Consider the following 17,990-nt stretch of genomic DNA (forward strand, 5'->3'; position numbering starts at 1 on the left):
TATATTTCAGTATTGCTGTTGACGTTTCTGGGAACAGGAATCCACAAAATTCACTGGAGAATAAATGGAAATGTATTTTTTGAGAAATTAGAAATATCAACCTAATTTCTGCCTGGTGTGATGTTTTTATTTTATCTAATGATACTGCTCTTTGCCCAAAGTGAATAAATAAATCACTGACTTGGTGTGGGACTGGCCCACATTGCCAAGCTGTCCTTTTTCTCAATGATGAATATTTTTACTCAGAGCAATGACTGAAATCAGTTTTCTTGTGAACACAGCTGTAGCTGCAAACACAATATTCAACTGGATAGCAGTTTGATTAGTAGCATATCTGAATATTAGTCCCTGACCTTCATCAGTTTTGTCTTTAAAAAGCTTTCATTTTCTTCAGTTGCTTCTAACATGCATATCTGCTCTTACATTAGACTGCTAAAAGGAGAGTTTGCTAGCATAATATAAAATTGACACCCATTAAACAGTTTGCAGAAGCTATTCAGACTTGAGTTGGAAATTAGAAGGGTTCCTCTACAAATTGTGGCATAGGAAATGCATTCTATTAAGGGCCCACTTGAAGGTGGGCATTTCTTTTTTCTTTTTCTTTCTTTTTTTTTTTTTTTTTTTTTTGAGGCAGAGTCTTGCTCTGTTGCCCAGGTTGGAGTGCAGTGGTGCCGCGTCTTGGCTCACTGCAGCCTCCGCCTCCCAGGTTCAAGCAATTCTCCCTGCCTCAGCCTCCCAAGTAGCTGGGATTACAGGTGCCTGCCACCACACCTGGCTAATTTTTGTGTTTTTAATAGAGGCCGGGTTTTGCCATGTTGGGCAAGTGATCCACCCATCTCGGCTTCCCAAAGTGCTGGGATTACAGACGTGAGCCACCACCCCCGGCCCAAAGATGGGCATTTTTTTATCCTTGAAAGAGTCTATTTTGTTAGCAGCATGAAGTAAAAACCAGCTGGGCACGGTGGCTTATGCCTGTAATTCCAGCACTTTGGCAGGCTGGGGCGAGTGGTTTGCTTGAGCCCAGGATGAGTCCAGACTGGGCAACATAATGAGGCTTCATCTCTACAAAAAATAATAAAATAATAACATAAAATAATAGCATAAAATTAATAAAATGGCCCAGAAGGCTCATGGGTGCTTCCATAGGCCACATAGGTGCTGTGCTGCAGTTTTTTTTAGCAGGGAATACCACCCATCGTGAGGTCTTTTTTATGCCTCTAGATTTGACATGGCATGGTTTGGCTTTATTCCTTCTCTCTGGCCGAAAAGTCCACTGTGAAAGCTGAGCTAGATGAACCTAGCACCAGAGTCATCCTCCCTGCAGTAATGGATTTGGGGTTTTCCCTTGTGGTTTTTATTGATTGGAATTGTTTCTCTAAACACAAATATTTATGTTGTGATTTAAGCTGTGCAGAGTGAACGGAAGCCCTTCGATGTGCAACGGGAGAAACCAAGCAATTGTGCTGCTTCAACTGAGAAAATCTATATCCGGAAAGACCTGAGAAGTCCCCTGATAGCTACTCCCACGTTTGTGGCAGACAAAGATGGAGCAAGGTCAGTCCCTTGTTCTCACTGCAATCAGCCTTTGCAGCTGATGGAGGAGGCACAGACGTGTCCCACAGCAGGCACTGTTGTGGCTTCCCACCCATCTGCCATAGCCTCCAGCGTTGTGTTGCCTAATTCTGCCCCTTCTGGAGCTGCTCAGTCACACCTCTGGACAGGCCTGAGGATGCCTGATTTATGAAGGGGTCAGAAATTCTCCTAGCCTTGAATTCAGATTATGTCCTGCAATTTAGGCATCATTCATACGGAAGACAATTATTTTATGATTCAAGATTGGGGCATTTCTGCAGTACACACAAAAGGCCCAAGGTGAGATAAGGTCTCAGTGCTACAGTTAATTTGTATATTCTTTTTAATATAATCTATTGAACTTACTTTAAAAGGAACGGAAAGAGGGGAAAACAAGCAATCCAAAATGTATCAGAGAGAGAGCTGGAGTTGAGGATGCCTTGCTGATTTTCTGAAAATCAAGTTAACTTTTCTAGGCAGAATGGCCACAGTCTGCAGTCATCCTGGAAAGCCCTGGGGGATGCATCTGCATTTCATCCTGTCTCAAGCTGTAAACCTGACTTTATGTATATCTCATTGCAGAGAGACAGGGGTGGGGGTTCTGCTTAGTCACTAAGCGGCTGAGTCTACTTAGAGCTTTTCTACTATTCAGACAGCTTCACAAATGTGGAAGGACAGGTAAATGCAGCATGATCATACTGTGCATAAAATGTTGGAAGCTACTCTGAGTTTCTTTATGTCTTAAATAGACAAACAGGTCTTCTTGATCCAGGGATGCTTGTGAACATCCAGCAGCCTTTGATACGTGAGGATGGTACAGTTCTCCTGGCCACGGATTCTAAGGTGACGTTCTCTACTCATGCTCTCTCTCATCCTTTATGTTGACATTGCAGGCTGCTTCTCTAACTGTGTGCACCACTTTCTTCCTGGCCTTCAGAGACCACATCAAAAGCATGACCTATGTCTCGGTCTCCTTATTGTTGTGATAGCTATCTTGTGATTTGTTTTAGAGATGCTGATGGCTTCTCAGATCAGAGCTGGCTGGTCATAATCACTGTAACATGTCAGTCTAGATGTCAATTTGGTGGACATTCAGTGGTTCTCTTTTCTGTTATAGTTTTCTTTTTCTCTTATACACATTGGCAAACTACTAGCCAAGGAAAGAAATACTTATCAGATGGCCTTTTTGCAAAAGCCCCGGGTTCCTTTTTATTAGATGATCTTCAGGAGGAAGCTCAGCCAGGAATCTATCAGTTCCAAAACTTTGCTAGAGCAGATCAGTCATAGGGATTTAACTTGTGGACAGAGATGTTCGTCAGTCCAAAAGGGGGAGACTTGCTGGCTCCTGTGAAGATAACCAAGGAGGGGGATTTTTTCCAGGCCAGGGAACTCACTGTTTGTCTCATCCTGGTGCTCCTGATGTAAACCAAGTAATGAGGAAGTAGTAGCAGCAAGCCACAACTCTAAGAGGGTGACTTGGTAATTGAGAACACTGGCATTGCTGCAACCATTAGAACCAGAGCAAGGCCTGCAGGCTTCCTCCTCATCTGTTCACAGTCTCATTCATGGGTGTACTCAGGGCATTACAGGGCATCCTCTTTTGGGAAAGAGAAGACAAAATTTAGAGCCCTTGCCTGTCATGGAGAGCTGCCCTGCATGCCTTGGTCCTCAGGCTGGGCCTTGCACCTTCTGTCTTTGGGCAGGGGCCACATGCATGATGGGAGCTGATGGATCACGCATCGTGGGCTTAGCTTATCAGCAGCACACATTCTAGAACAGTGGCTCTGACTGCATGGTCAAATGCAGAGAAAGCGTAAGCCTGAAAGTAAGGCCCAGATAACCTTAAAAACAGATTACCAAGGGATTCACAGCAACCATTCTATTGGGCCATCCACACACAGACTGGGAATGAGAACCAAGACTCCAGAACTGGCTAGAACTGGGTTCAGAGTCTGACAGTGCTCTTCGTAGCCACATGCTTCTTTCCTGCACTTGTAAATTTCTTGGTACACAGTGAGCATTCAATAAATGTTAATGGTTAGGAATTAGTTATTGTCACTTTGGAGGAGAATGACCACAAAGCTGTATGGTATTTCAGGAATCAAGAGAAAGAGCTTCAGAGGCAGACTGTGTCCTACCCCATTCCTTCCTGTGTACAATGGAAACAACAATACCCCCCACAGAAGTTTGATACGAATAATAAAACATATGCAAAGCACCCACAGGAAGCTACTTTCAGAAACTGTTTTCCAATTTTACTTTGAAGTAATTATACATTTAAAATAATTTACTATGAAGGAAGTACAGTGCTATTACAGAGCTCCCACATAGCCTTCGCCCAGGTCCTCCCAGTGGTTATGTCATACATACCTACGGTACAGTATCACAACGAGGACATTGGCTTTGGTACAAACCATATGTATTGTTCTGTCTTTTTTATATTTCACTCTTCTTCAACTTCATTTCCTTCAACATACCTTTCTGTTAATGAGGATCTTACAGTAGCTGCACAGTATTCTATGTGTCTGTTGTGATTTAATCATTTCTGTTTATGACCTTTTCTACTGATTCTAGTTTTTCATTTTGTAATCAAGACATAACCTTGTGTGTACATATCTTGGTTTGAGTATATCTCTGGCTTTCTTTTCTTTTTCTTTTTCTTTTTTTTTTTGAGACAGGGTCTTGCTCTGTTGCCCAGGCTGGAGTACAGTGGTATGATCTTGGCTCATTGCAACCTGCACCTCCCAGGCTCAAGCAATCTTCTTACCTCAGCCTTCCGAGTAGCTGGGACTGTAGGTGCACAGCACCACGCCTGGCTAATTTTTCGTATTTTTTTTGTAGAGACGGTGTTTCACCATGTTGCCCAGTCTGGTCTTGAACTCCTGGACTCAAGCAATTCACCCACCTTAGTCCCTGCAGAGTGCTGAGATTACAGGCGTGAGCCACTACCCCTGGCTTTCTTTTTTAATTGAAATATAATTCACATGCCATAAAACTCACCCTTTTAGTGTATAATGTAGTGGTTTTTGGTATATTTACAAGGTTGTACAAACCATCCCCACTATCTAGTTTTAGAATATTTTCGTCACCTCAGAATAAACCCCAAACCCTATTATGTAGTCACTCCTCCTTTCCCCCTCTTCTCAAACCCTACCAACCACTAATCTGCTTTCTGACTCTATGGTTTTGTCAACTCTGTACATTTCATATAAAGGAAATCATACAATATATGGTCTTTTGTGGCTGGCTTCTTTCACTTAGCATGATGTTTCTAAGGGTCATCATGATATAGCATGTATCAGTACTTCATTCCTTTTTATTGCCAAATAATGCACCTCTGTTTTTTTTTAAAGACAAGAGTTTCGCTCTTGTTTCCTTGGCTAGAGTGCAGTGGTGCCACCTCGGCTCACTGCAACTTCTGCCTGCTGAGTTCAAGCAATTCTCCTGCCTCAGCCTCCCGAGTAGCTGGGATTACAGGCATGTGCCACCATACCCAGCTAATTTTGTGTGTTTTGTTTTGAGATGGAGTCTCGCTCTGTCGCCCAGGCTGGAGTGCAATCGTGCGATCTCGGCTTACTGCAGCCTCCGCCTCCCGAGTTCAAGCGATTCTCCTGCCTCAGCCTCCTGAGTAGCTGGGATTGCAGGTGCGTGCCACCACACCCAGCTAATTTTTGTATTTTTAGTAGAGATAGGGTTTCACCATGTTGGTCAGGCTGGTCTTAAACTCCTGACCTCACGATCCGCCCGCCTCGGCCTCCCAAAGTGCTGGGATTACAGGCGTGAGCCACCGCTCCTGGCCAATTTTGTGTTTTTAGTAGAGATGAGGTTTCACCATGTTGGGCAGGCTGGTCTCGAACTCCTGACCTTAGGTGATCTGCCTGCCTCGGCCTCCCAAAGTGCTGGGATTATAGGCGTGAGCCACCACGCCCAGCCTAATAATACACCTTTGTATGGCTATACCACATTTTATTTATCCATTAGTCAATTGATGGACATTTGTGTTGTACCACTTTACATTCTCACCAACTGTGTAGGAAGGTTCTCATTTCTCCACATCCTTACCAACACTTGTTATTATCCATCTTTTTGATTGTAGCCATCCCAGTGGATGTGAAGTGGTATGTCATTGTGATTTTGATTTGCATTTCTCATGATGTTGAGCATCTCTTCATATGCTTATGGGCTGTTTATATATCTTCTTTGGAGAGAAGTCTATTATCTTTGGGGTTTTGTTGTTTCATTTTGTTATTGAGACAGGGTCTCACTCTGTCTGATAGGCTGGACTGCAGTGGCACAATCATGGCTCACTGCAGCCTTGACTTCCTGAGCTCAAGAGACCCTCCCACCTCAGCTTCCTAAGTAGCTGGGACCACAGGCACACACCACCACGCCTGGCTAATTTTTTTACTTTTTGTAGAGACAGGGCCTTGCCATGTTGCCCAGGCTTGTCTCAAACTCTTGGGCTCAAGGGATCCTTCTGCTTTGCCCTCCCAAAGTGCTCTTTTTCCTTTTTTTTTTTGACATGGAATCTTACTCTGTCACCCAGGCAGTGGCACAATCTCAGCTCACTGCAACCTCTGCCTCCTGGGTTCAAGTGATTCTCCTTCTTCAGCCTCCCAAGTACCTGGGGTTACAGGCACCTGCCACCATGCCTGGCTAATTTTTTGCATTTTTAGTAGAGACAGGGTTTCACCATGTTTGCCAGGCTGGTCTTGAACCCCTGACCTCAGGTGATCCACCTCCCTTGGCCTCCCAAAGTGCTGGGATTACAGGCATGAGCCACTGCATCCAGCCTCTTTTTCCATTTTTAAATTGGGTTGTCTTTTTATTATTGAGTTGTTAGCGTTCCTTAGACATTCTGGCTACTAAACCATTATCAGACATGATTCGCAAATATTTTCTCTCATTCTGTGAGTTGTCCTTTTGTTTTATGGGCTTTTACTTTCTTGACAATTTCTTTTGAAGCACAACAGTTTTAATGAAGTCTAGTTTATCTGTTTTTGTTCTGTCATTTTGTCACATATCTAGATTTGTGTAAATACCACCACACCAAGATACAGAACTGTTAAATCACTAAAAAGATCTTCCTCGTGTTGCCCCTTTGTAGTCACACTTCCCTCTCCTCGAAGCTGTTTTTGAACCAGCATTATAACTTCATTGGCCTGAGAGTCATTTGCGTATCTGTGTTCATTTTTAATGTCAGTATTTTTTGTTTAATAGGCTGAAACAAGCCAGGGAGCTCTGGGCACACTGGCAAATGTAGTGACCTCCCTTGCCAACCTAAGTGAATCTTTGAACAACGGTGACACTTCAGAAATCCAGCCAGAGGACCAGTCTGCAAGTGAGATAACTCGGTACGAGCCCATGAGGATGGAGTCTCCCCTCCTCGCCTGGACACCCTCCCTCTATTGTGAGGGTGGAAAACAGCATTTTGGTACCTGTGCTGTATTTAACTAAGGATGATAAAATTGTTACAATGACCCTGCTCATCTGTCTTCTTTGAAATTTTAACTGTGGGAACATAGACCCACCTATGTTATACAGTATAAAACAATCAAAACTTCTTTTCATTCCCAACCATGGAAAAGGAAATTGAGTAAATCAGTAGACATAGGAGGAAAACTCTAGTGGACAGCGGTTATTTGTATTAATTACTGTTTAATAATGCGTCTGCATATTAAGAGTTCATTCCCTTTCCTACTTCTATTTTAACCTATTTTTCTCATCTATATTTTTCTTTTTTCTTTTTTTTTTTTTTTAATAGAGATGGAGTCTCACCATGTTGCCTAGGCTGGTCTAGAACTCTTGGGCTCAAGTGATCTTCCCGCCTCAGCATCCCAAAGTGCTGGGTTTACAGGCGTGCGCCACCACCCCCACCCAGCCCTCATGTATATTTTTTCTGAGTAATGAATTCAGAGCTTAAATCCACCAGGGTAACTAGAGTGATAGTGGCTGATAGATAGTGATAGTATGAGCTAATGCCAGATGCCGATAACTGCTACTAAGGATGTTTCTTCTCTGCAGTTTGGCTCTTGTGCTCTGCTCCTAACATGCCAGACCAGCCAGATACAAAGCTGGAGACTATACAAGTGTTCCAGTCCTTTGTTCACTTGTGGTCTGATAACAAATAAGATCTAGGTACCGTGGAAAGTGGGTGGGATTTGAATTAGGTAGAATTCTGGTTCTACCACTTACTATATGGATGGTCTTGGAAAAGTTATTTAACAACTGTAAGCTCAGCATTCACATCTGTAAAATGGAAGATAATTTTTAACTTTGGAGGGTACTTGTGAAAAATAGAAATTGGGCCTAGGTGCAGTGGCTCACAGCTATAATCCCAGCACTTAGAGAAGCTGAGACAAGAGGATCACTTGATCCCAGGGGTTTGAGACCAGCTGAGACCCATCTCTGAAAAAGTAAATAAATAATAGATAGATAGATAGATAGATAGATAGATAGATAGATAGATAGATAGATATAGATAGACCCCATCTCTGAAAGAGAGAAAGAAAAAGAGAAAGAGACAAAGAGAAAAGGAAGGAAGGAAGGAAGGAAAGAGAGAAAAGGAAGGAAAAGAGAGAAAGAAAAGAAAAGAAAGAAATTGTCCATGAAGTTAGATAATACATAGCTCAGTGCCTAAGATGATGTGTAGATAATACATACAAGTTTTCATTGTTTGCCGGATGCAGTGGCTCACGTGTGTAATCCCAGCACTTTGAGAGGCCAAGGCAGGTAGATCACCTGCAGTCAATAGTTTGAGACCAGCCTGGCCAACATAGTGAAACCCCATCTCTACGGTAGAATTTAATTATCTTTTCCCACTGTAGTTTTTCTAAATCATAGCTAGAATTCTGTTCCCCCTAAAAGCTGTAGATTCACAACAATTACATGCTTCATTTTTGCTCACAGGGCATTTGATACCTTAGCTAAAGCACTTAATACCACAGACAGCTCCTCTTCTCCAAGCTTGGCAGATGGGATAGACACCAGTGGAGGAGGGAGCATCCACGTCATCAGCAGAGACCAGTCGACACCCATCATTGAGGTTGAAGGCCCCCTCCTTTCAGACACACACGTCACATTTAAGGTGAGTGAATTCAGCCTAACCATGTGCCCCCAACCTGCTGGGGGATAGGTTCTGTACCAAAGCCGATCTGCAGTTTTAAAAATCAAACCTTGGGGCCAGGCATAGTGGCTCATGCCTGTAATCTTAGCACTTCGGGAGGCCAAGGCACGTGGATCACTTCAGCTCAGGAGTTCAAGACCAGCCTGGCCAACATGGTGAAATCCCATCTCTCCTAAAAATACAAAAATTAGTCGGGCATGGAGGCGCATGCCTGTAGTCTCACCTACTCAGGAGGCTGAGGCATGAGAATCACTTGAACCTGGGAGGCAGAGGTTGCAGTGAGCCAAGATCATGCCACTGCACTCCAGCCTGGGCAACGAGTGAAACTCCACCTCAAAAATAAATAAATAAATAAAAATTAAACCTTGGAGTGAGCTCATCTTCAATCTGGTATTTAACATTATGACTTCAAACTGGATCTTGTATTCCAGAATGATAGTCCCATTATGAAGCATCTTCACTTGTCTTTTGCTCACAGTGCCATTTGGTTCTGAAGGTAACCATGAAGCAGGCGTGGCCCATCATTACTAAGACAGGCTGACATAGTGGTAACTGCTGAGGGCTGAATGCTCTGCCTCTGCCTCTCTGTGACTGCCTGGCTGCCCCATGGGCTCAGGCAGGCACTTTTGTCTCTTCTCTGTGTCATAGAAACCCTCATATAAAATCTACAACAAGCAGGCAGCCAGCCATTGATCCTGACTGCTCTGCCCTCTAGAGCCACAGAAAGTAGATCCCTTGAAGAGTGCTGTTAAGGCCTCATGGGTGTTCCCCGTGCTGTCATTCACTGGTCTCACTTTTTCTACAGGACACTCAGAGGGTACCTGAAGCCCTCTCAGTCTCTAGGTCTCCAGACTGCTGAGTCCTCCTTTTCCCCCAGTATTTTTTTTTTTTTTAAACAAATACATAGGCTGAAGCGTAGTGATGTGATTGTGGCTCACTGTAACCTCAAACTCCTGGTCTTGAACTCCTGGGCTCAGGTGATCCTCCTGCCTCAGCCTCCCAAGTAGCTAGGACTATAGGCATGCACCACCATGCCCATCTAATTTTTATTTTTATTTTTTGTAGAGATGGTGTCCTTGATATGTTGCCCAAGCTGGTCTCAAACACTTGGCCTCAAGCAATCCTCCCACCTCAGCCTCCCAAAGTGCTCCTGTCACATGAGCTGCTTAGCTCTTACTTACTGCTACCTTAAGACCATCTCCCAAAATGCCTGCTAGTCCATGAAGTTGGCCCCTGTTACCCAGATTTTTTTTTTTTGAGACTGAGTCTCACTGTCACCCATACTGGAGTGCAGTGGTACAATCTTGGTTCACCACAACCTCCACCTCCTGGGTTCAAGCAATTCTCCTGCCTCAGCCTCCGAAGTAGCTGGAACTACAGGTGCATGCCACCACACCTGGCTAATTTTTGTATTTTTAATAGAGACAGGGTTTCATTATGTTGCCCAGGCTGGTCTCGAACTCCTGACATCAGGTGATCTGCCTGCCTCAGCCTCCCAAAGTGCTGGGATTACAGGCATGAGCCACCCGCACCTGGCCCCTGTTCCCCAGATTTAATTTAGACCTTAACCTATGGCTCAAAATGGAATTGCCATAGAACAAATAACAGTTTAGCTGAGGCAAGACTTGAGGAGTATGTTTTTGTGGGGGTGGGCTGGGAAGATCCCCTTAGGCTTATGGACCACATTCCAAGGCCCATTAGACCCTAGTTCACTGAGCAAGAAAACATGGGGAGTCCGTGCAAGCCCCCCGACTGCATGGGACTTCAGAATCAGACAGCAACTCTAGATGCCACTGCTATTGAAGCATGACAGGGATACATGTTGACAGACAAAGCCATCCCCTGTCCTTCCTTCACCTCCTGTGCCATGTGCCTCCTCTTTTCCAGCTAACAATGCCCAGTCCAATGCCAGAGTACCTCAACGTGCACTACATCTGTGAGTCTGCATCCCGTCTGCTTTTCCTCTCAATGCACTGGGCTCGGTCAATCCCAGCCTTTCAGGCACTTGGGTAAGTGGCCTCTTGCTGTGCATGTATCCTCGGGCAGGAGCCTTCCTCTCCCTAGGAATGACCTGGAAGAACTCTGAGGGCCTGTCTAGTTTGACTGTTTCTATGACCTCATTCAAAGGACCCTGAGTTTTTTATTAAATATAGTTAGTGGACTGGTAGCAGGATTACCAGTTGCCAGTTCTGCAATGTTCCTCTAAACTTTATGGAGCCTCCTAGATACACCAAGGATTTGGTGCTAGGAGCTGGGGATGGAGAAGAATGTAGAAGGCAAGGGTAGTCCCCAGCACTGTGCTATGCACAGTGTGACTCAACAAACTGAAGCCAGGCCGGGAACTGTGCCTAGGCCTTAATAAGGTGAATGTGAATCAGCTGTTTCCTCAAACATGGATTTACAATCTCACACAAGCCACAGTGCCAATTGGCACATTGAGTAGTACAGAACCTGGTGTCATCTCTACAGGAAACCCCCCCCCCTTTTCTTGCTTTCTTGAGTACCACTTGTGTATGTTTCTCCTCTAAATACCAGCATCGGCTCTGCCAGTGTGCCAAGTGCTGTGCAGCTGGTGCAGCTGCCACCGTGCCATCAGGTGGCTGGCAGTCTGGTTGAAAGATAAGTAACCATATAAAAATGGAAATACAATGAGAGTCATTGCATATTGCAGAGTAACCATCCTTAGGTAATATGTGGAAAACACTAGAATGGAGGGCAGGGTTGTCTAGTAGTTGACACTATTGTCTTTGGGGCAAACAGACCTGGTTGTCGGGCCATAAGAATAGTGCTTGTCAGCTGTGTGGCCTTGTGCAAGTCACTTTACCTCTCTGAGCCTCCAGTTTCTCATTGTAGAATCCTCGCGTGGGTTTCAGATCTATAAAGCTCTTAACCCAGTGCCTGGCATGCAAGGGACTCAGCAGAAGGCAGTGTGGTTCTGTGGGTCAGGTGGTGTGGGATGTGTCCTGAGTAGTTGTTAGAATGGTCACCTCCCTCCATGATTAAAGGAAAGGCAGTCAGAATTGTCCCATTCTCCAGGGAGAATTAGACAGGTAGTGACTGCTAAACAAGTATTAGGAGTTTCATTGTTAGCTCTTTGGGAGAATGGCCTACCCCTTGCTACTATCTGGTAGGTGGTGTAACCTCAGGCTTTTTTTTTTTTTTTTTTTTTTTTTAAATAACACCACAGTCCACAGTTAATAGTACTGATAGGTACCTGAGATTTTTTAAATGAGGTTAAAACATTGTTACCCACTGCCCTGAGTGTACTTTTTCTAGTTGGGTAATTTGGAACCTCCTCCACAGAGTTTCTCAGTCCGGGCTAGATAAAATGTGCTACCACATTTAAAGTGGTTTCATTTACATTTCATGTACTGTTTTTCATAAGTTAGTGTTCAGGGCAGTGATCATAGTAAAATACTAGATGTGCATCTGGGGCATTTGGGAATGACCCAGTGCAGTAGCCCTGGTTCTCACTGCCTTCCTGTGGCTGGGCCACACTTAAGGCAACTGGAAGAAACAGCTTTGTCAAGACAGCCCAGTTTCTCCGGCCTCCTGAAATCTTGAGACAGGTGAGGGAATGCAATTTAGGGGTTTCTGAGAATAAGGATGTATTGTTTTGTGATGTGCCAACTTTGCTGACTAACTGAGTAGAAGTTAGCCAGGGCAAGGCTGGAAGCGGCCTTAGCTGGACCCTCATCCTCCCTGCTTCAGTCTCGGATCCAGCACAAAGCCTGCCTCCTGCCCTGCAGGGTTGCAGGGCATGTTTCTGCCCTTCAGAATCTGTACTCATCTCCGTCTTTTGGTCCCCGTAGCCTCTCATGACCTTGGCTGCAGGACCTAAGTAACTGATACCATCTCTTGGGACAGTCAGTCCAGGATGCTGAGGCTTTTGAAGGCTGTAGGTAATGATGGTTTGGCCATACCTATTAACATTTTTTTATTATTTAAAGAATGTTTTTTAAGAGAATAGTTGATCATTAGAAGGATTTTAGTTAAAACATTCATAGACTTATTCATAGACTTCATCCTTTTCTTGAAGAATGATCCTGGATAGCACTTCAATAAACACTTGCTGAATTCACCTGTTTGGGAAATGCTGGGACTTAGTGCCTGGATGCCCCACAACCTTGGAGAAATGCCAACACACACCACACTCAGACTCCTTTCTATATTCCTAGGCAGGACTGCAACACCAGCCTTGTGCGGGCCTGCTGGAATGAGCTCTTCACCCTCGGCCTGGCCCAGTGTGCCCAGGTCATGAGTCTCTCCACCATCCTGGCTGCCATTGTCAACCACCTGCAGAACAGCATCCAGGAAGGTAGGGCACAGGGACTTGGGGCTGGGGTGTGTCTTGGTTCAGCCTGGTGGCCATGGAGCAGAGCCCAGCCCCCTGGTTGGAGGCTCATGTCAAAGACACCTTTGTTGACCCAGGCTGGCAACATAGCAAATTGGATAGCCTCAGTTTCCCACAGCATCCATAGGCTGAGAGAAGTTTGACTGTTAAGGTATGGAGCCTTTGGGCTGGGCATGGTGGCTCACGCCTGTAATCCTAACACTTTGTTAGGCCAGGCAGGAGGATCACTTGAGCCCAGGAGTTTGAGACCAGTCTGGGCAACATAACGAGACCTTGTCTTTACAAAAAGTACAAGAAATTAGCCAGGCCTGGTGGCATCTGCCTGTAGTCCCAGATACTCAGGAGGCTGAGGCAGGAGGATTGCTTGAGCCCAGAGTTTGAGGCTGCAGTGAGCTGTGATCATTCCAGGTACTCCATCCTGGGTAATAGAGCAAGATCCCATCTCAATGAATGAATGAATGTTAGGAGGCTTATCAGTCAGAATATGTAAATTTCTGCCAGACTGCCCTCTTCATACGATTAATATGAAGAAAAAAATGGAAAAGGTCAACTTCTTGATAGGCATTTAGTGATGTTTTCAGAATAATCACAGCTGATATTTTCATCTTCATTGACAGGTTACTTTTCTCATGTATAATAGTTCACAGATCCTCACAACCCTATAAAGTAGGGACTATTACCTCATTTTTCCCTATGGAGGAACTGAGGCCCTGATAAGGTCCCTGGCTTGCCCCAGATGAAACAGTAAGTACAAAAACTAGGGCACAGGCTGGGTGCAGTGGCTCACTCCTGTAATCCCAGCACTTTGGGAGGCCAAGACGGGGGATCACTGGAGGTCAGGACAGTCCAGCTTGGCCAACATGGTGAAACCCCTTCTCTACTAAAAATACAAAACAGGAGGCTGGGTGCAGTGGCTCACGCCTATAATCCCAGCACTTTGGGAGGCCAAGGCGGGTGGACTGCCTGAGCTTGGGCGTTCGAAACCAGCCTGGGCAACATGGCGAAACCTCGTCTCTACTAAAAATACAAAAAATTAGCCAGGCGTGATGGTGGGCATCTGTAATCCCAGCTACTTGGGAAGCTGAGGCGGGAGAACCACTTGAACCTGGGAGGCGGAGGTTGCAGTGAGCCGAGATCACGCCACTGCACTGCAGCCTGGGCAACAGAGCGAGACTCTGTCTCCAAAAAACAAAAATTAGCCGGGCATGGTGGCGCATGCCTGTAATTCCAGCTACTCGGGAGGCTGAGGCATGAGAATCACTTGAACCCAGGAGGCAGAGGTTGCAGTGAGCCGAGACTGTGCCACTGCACTGCAGCCTGGGTGACAGAGCGAAACTATTTCAAAACAAAAACAAAAAAAAAACTAGGGCACAAACCTGCACCATGCTGACCCCCTAGTCCAGGACATACGTACCTCACCCAGGCTGCTCCTTAAGAGTGAACAAACAACTTTTCTAGTGAGATCTGTGGCAACTATCTAGTATTTGGTGTTCAAAACACCAGCAGTGTCAGGAATAGGAGGCAGCCATTGTAGTCTCTCCATGTGTAGCATGTCTGCAACACTCTGAAGACCACTGTCATGCCCAGGATTCGAAGTAACACTGAAAATCTACACTTGTAGCTGAAGTGGAAGTTTTTGTTGTTGTTGTTTTGTTTGTTTGTTTTTTGATACAGTCTCTCTGTGTTGCCAGGCTGGAGTGCAGTAGCAATCATAGCTCACTACAGCCTTGAACCCCTGGGCTCAAGTGATCCTCCTGCCTCAGCCTCCCAAGTAGCTGGGACTTACAGGCATGTGCCATCACACCCAGATAATTTTTATATTTTTTAATAGAGATGAGGTTTCGCTGTGCTGCCTAGGCTTGGAATTTCACTTTTAATTGGGCATTCCAGGTGTTTGATATCTAGGAATGTGAGTGACATAGTCATACATTTGTTTTTCTAGTTATTTCCTTGGAATAGTTACATAAGGGTGAAGTTTAAAAGACCCTATAACAGGCTGGGTGTGGTGGCTTACGCCTGTAATCCCAGCACTTTGGGAGGCCGAGGCAGGTGGATAACTTGAGGTCAGGAGTTCAAGATCAGCCTAGCCAACATGGTGAAACCCTGTCTCTACTAAAAATACAAAAATTAGCCTGACATGGTGGTGAGTGCCTGTAATCCCAGTTACTTGCTAGGCTGAGGTAGGAAAATCGCTTGAACCTGGGAGGCGGAGGCTGCAGTGAGCCAAGATTGTGTCACTGCACTCCAGCCTGGGACAGAGTGAGACTCAAAAAAAAAAAAACCCCTTACAACATTTTATTGAAGTTAAGATTTGTTCACAAATGAGCTTTAGTTTTGTTTTTTGTTGTGTTATTGTTTTTTGTTTGTGTGTGTGTGTGTGTGTGTGTGTGTGTGTTTTTGTTTTTTGTAGAGACAGAGTCTCATGATGTTGCTCAAGCTGGTCTCAAACTCCTGGCCTCAAGCAGGCCTCCTGCCTTGGCCTCCCGAAATATTGGGACTAGAGAGGCACGAGCCACCACAACTGGCCAGTTTTATTTTTAACTGAGTATAATACTAATACTGCCAGTAAAATATTGTCATGAGGATTAAATGAAATAACATATAAAATTGTTCTGAAGCCAGGCATGGTGATGCACACTTGTAGTCCCAGCTCCTCAGGATGCTAAGGTGGGAGGATCACTTGAGCTTATGAATTCAAGTTCAGCCTGGGCAACATAGTAAGACACCCAACTCAAAAAAAATTGTTTTGACAACTAAAAATTACCAGCATTTAATGTTCAGGTGCCTGCAGAGACTTAAAAAACCTAACCAAGTATATAAGCTGTGAGTCTTCAGAATAAAGGAATTATTACTCAGGTACACAATAAAAGAAATTCACAATGTACACCTACAGGCCAGCTGCCTGGCAGCAGGGTCAGGGAGAATCACTGGTCTAGGGATTTGTTATTGAGGCAGAACCCATATTGGAGCAGAATTTGGGTACCTCTTGTCACTTCATCTGCAGCTGGAAAATGAAGCTCTTGTTCACCTTGAGATTACTGATTTTTCATTAAAAAGTGAAATGGTCCCATTTCTTTCCATATGTGGCCCCTCAAATAAGCTGGTTTTATTGTTCTTACCAGCCTTTCTCAGGATCTGTGATGTTGGTTTCTAGATAAACTTTCTGGTGACCGGATAAAGCAAGTCATGGAGCACATCTGGAAGCTGCAGGAGTTCTGTAACAGCATGGCGAAGCTGGATATAGATGGCTATGAGTATGCATACCTTAAAGCTATAGTTCTCTTTAGCCCCGGTAAGATATGCGGTGGGGATGCATGACCCCTTTCCACCTGTATCTACTGATGTTTCTGAACGTGAACATGTTGTCATCATTGGTGTAGAAAGAGCCCTGCAGATTGTATGTGACCTAGTGTTCTTATGATAGGTGTTTTGCTAGATAAATACATAAACGCTTTTAAATTCTTGCCTTTACAGCCCCAAAGAAATATGCTGCAGTGCCTGATGATGTCACGCACTGAATAGATTTAATCTGTGTCCTAATTAAACCATTGGCCAAACAAGACTACACCATACAAAAGTGTGCTGCCACCCGATGTCCTTTCTTTTTTTTCCGGCCCTTTGCCAGTTTCCAAGTTTTGTTAGCGCATATAATCCAGTACACATTGAAGTTCCACTTGTTTGCCCACAGACTGTGTATAGCACTGCAGAGCATGCTAAAAGGTATGTTCGCAGGAGATGAAGAGGCAGCAATCACGATGCCTGGGCTGGCCTCACTCCCCTTATTAACTGTTCTCTCAAGTCCTCTGGAAAAGTCACTTAGGCTAATTGTTCACCTCACAGTAAGGGGTTGGACACAGCTTAACCTTTTTGTCTTCCTTCCCAGCCCTTCACTCACAAACAACAAAATAGCTAATAAAATTGGGACAAATTATATAATTATTTAGAAAGTAAATGACAATTTGTAATTTTATGTGATAGTTTTTAAAACTATGTGTTTTCTAGGGTAGTAGGAAGCCAGATGTCCAGAACCAATCATGTGGGGCTGTTCAGACTGGGATCCACTCAGGGTCCCCGACCCGCTCCCAGGAACTTCAGGCCTGGGCAGAAAACAGAGGAAAAGCCAGTGTTCTAATAATACCCAAACTAGATCAGTCTTTGAGTTCAATTTGTTGTACTTAAGAAGTTTGCAGAAGTTTGACTAAAAGTACTAAGAAGTCTACAAGTGAGACTTTTCAAATACAGAGGGAACTGGGGGGGGGTACTTTTCTGTTTTCAGATCATCCAGGTTTGACCAGCACAAGCCAGATTGAAAAATTCCAAGAAAAGGCACAGATGGAGTTGCAGGACTATGTTCAGAAAACCTACTCAGAAGACACCTACCGGTGAGGCATTCAGGCATATGCGCTCTTGCTTGGGGCTGCAAGGAGTGTGGCTGAGTCTGCAGTTTCTAATATAAATTATGTTAACCTTTCCATTTTTAGCAGCCTGATAGAGCCTCCATTGGATCACACTCTAATTCTTGAGTTTTCTTTGTTTTTTCCAAGCTCCCAAGAGCTAGAGATAATTCTTGAATGCTAGAGGTGGTGTAGAGTGTAGACAGTGCCAGCAGGAGGGCCAGGACTGTGGCTGATTCCAGTTTTGCTGTGTGACTGTGAGCGAGGCCTCAGATTGCTACTCTTTAATTGGAGGAGTTGGAACAGATGCTGTGTGGCCTGTTCTGGGGCTAACACTGTACATGAGGCTTGAGTTCTCATGGAGATTCCTTTGTCCAGAATAGTTTGAAAGGTCTGCTCCTCTGGTCAGCATCCATTGAAGAGGCAGTGCTAGAGTACTTGACAGAAAAGTGCTTATTGACAGAAAATTCTTATTGACAGAAATCAAATCTGACCCCTATAAAGGAGTGGATGAGTTATATAAAGTCATTTTACCCTCAGATAA

The 17,990-nt window shown here is 44.6% G+C and overlaps 1 protein-coding gene across 25 annotated transcripts in view, besides 1 other annotated feature; it reads left to right on the forward strand.

Annotated features, from left to right (window-relative positions):
* The window catches only part of NR2C2 (nuclear receptor subfamily 2 group C member 2), a 101,691-nt gene that overhangs the window by 74,211 nt on the left and 9,490 nt on the right, over positions 1-17,990 (forward strand). For all 25 annotated transcript variants that reach the window (XM_047448826.1, XM_047448825.1, XM_047448830.1 and 22 more), the window contains 8 exons: positions 1,407-1,554; positions 2,322-2,415; positions 6,793-6,926; positions 8,482-8,659; positions 10,586-10,707; positions 12,877-13,016; positions 16,207-16,344; positions 17,329-17,434. In XM_047448826.1, the coding sequence (XP_047304782.1) occupies positions 1,407-1,554; positions 2,322-2,415; positions 6,793-6,926; positions 8,482-8,659; positions 10,586-10,707; positions 12,877-13,016; positions 16,207-16,344; positions 17,329-17,434 (1,060 nt within the window). The remainder of the gene's footprint in view (positions 1-1,406; positions 1,555-2,321; positions 2,416-6,792; positions 6,927-8,481; positions 8,660-10,585; positions 10,708-12,876; positions 13,017-16,206; positions 16,345-17,328; positions 17,435-17,990) is intronic.
* Positions 3,235-3,734: an enhancer, noted in NCBI's record as "H3K27ac hESC enhancer chr3:15066535-15067034 (GRCh37/hg19 assembly coordinates)". NCBI's record gives its function as "activates a minimal SCP1, AML or CMV promoter by ChIP-STARR-seq in primed H9 embryonic stem cells {active_cell/tissue: H9 hESC(primed)}" and the evidence as "EXISTENCE:reporter gene assay evidence [ECO:0000049][PMID:30033119]".

This window comes from Homo sapiens, chromosome 3, assembly GCF_000001405.40.
Source record: "Homo sapiens chromosome 3, GRCh38.p14 Primary Assembly".
NCBI classification, from domain to species: Eukaryota; Metazoa; Chordata; class Mammalia; order Primates; family Hominidae; genus Homo; species Homo sapiens.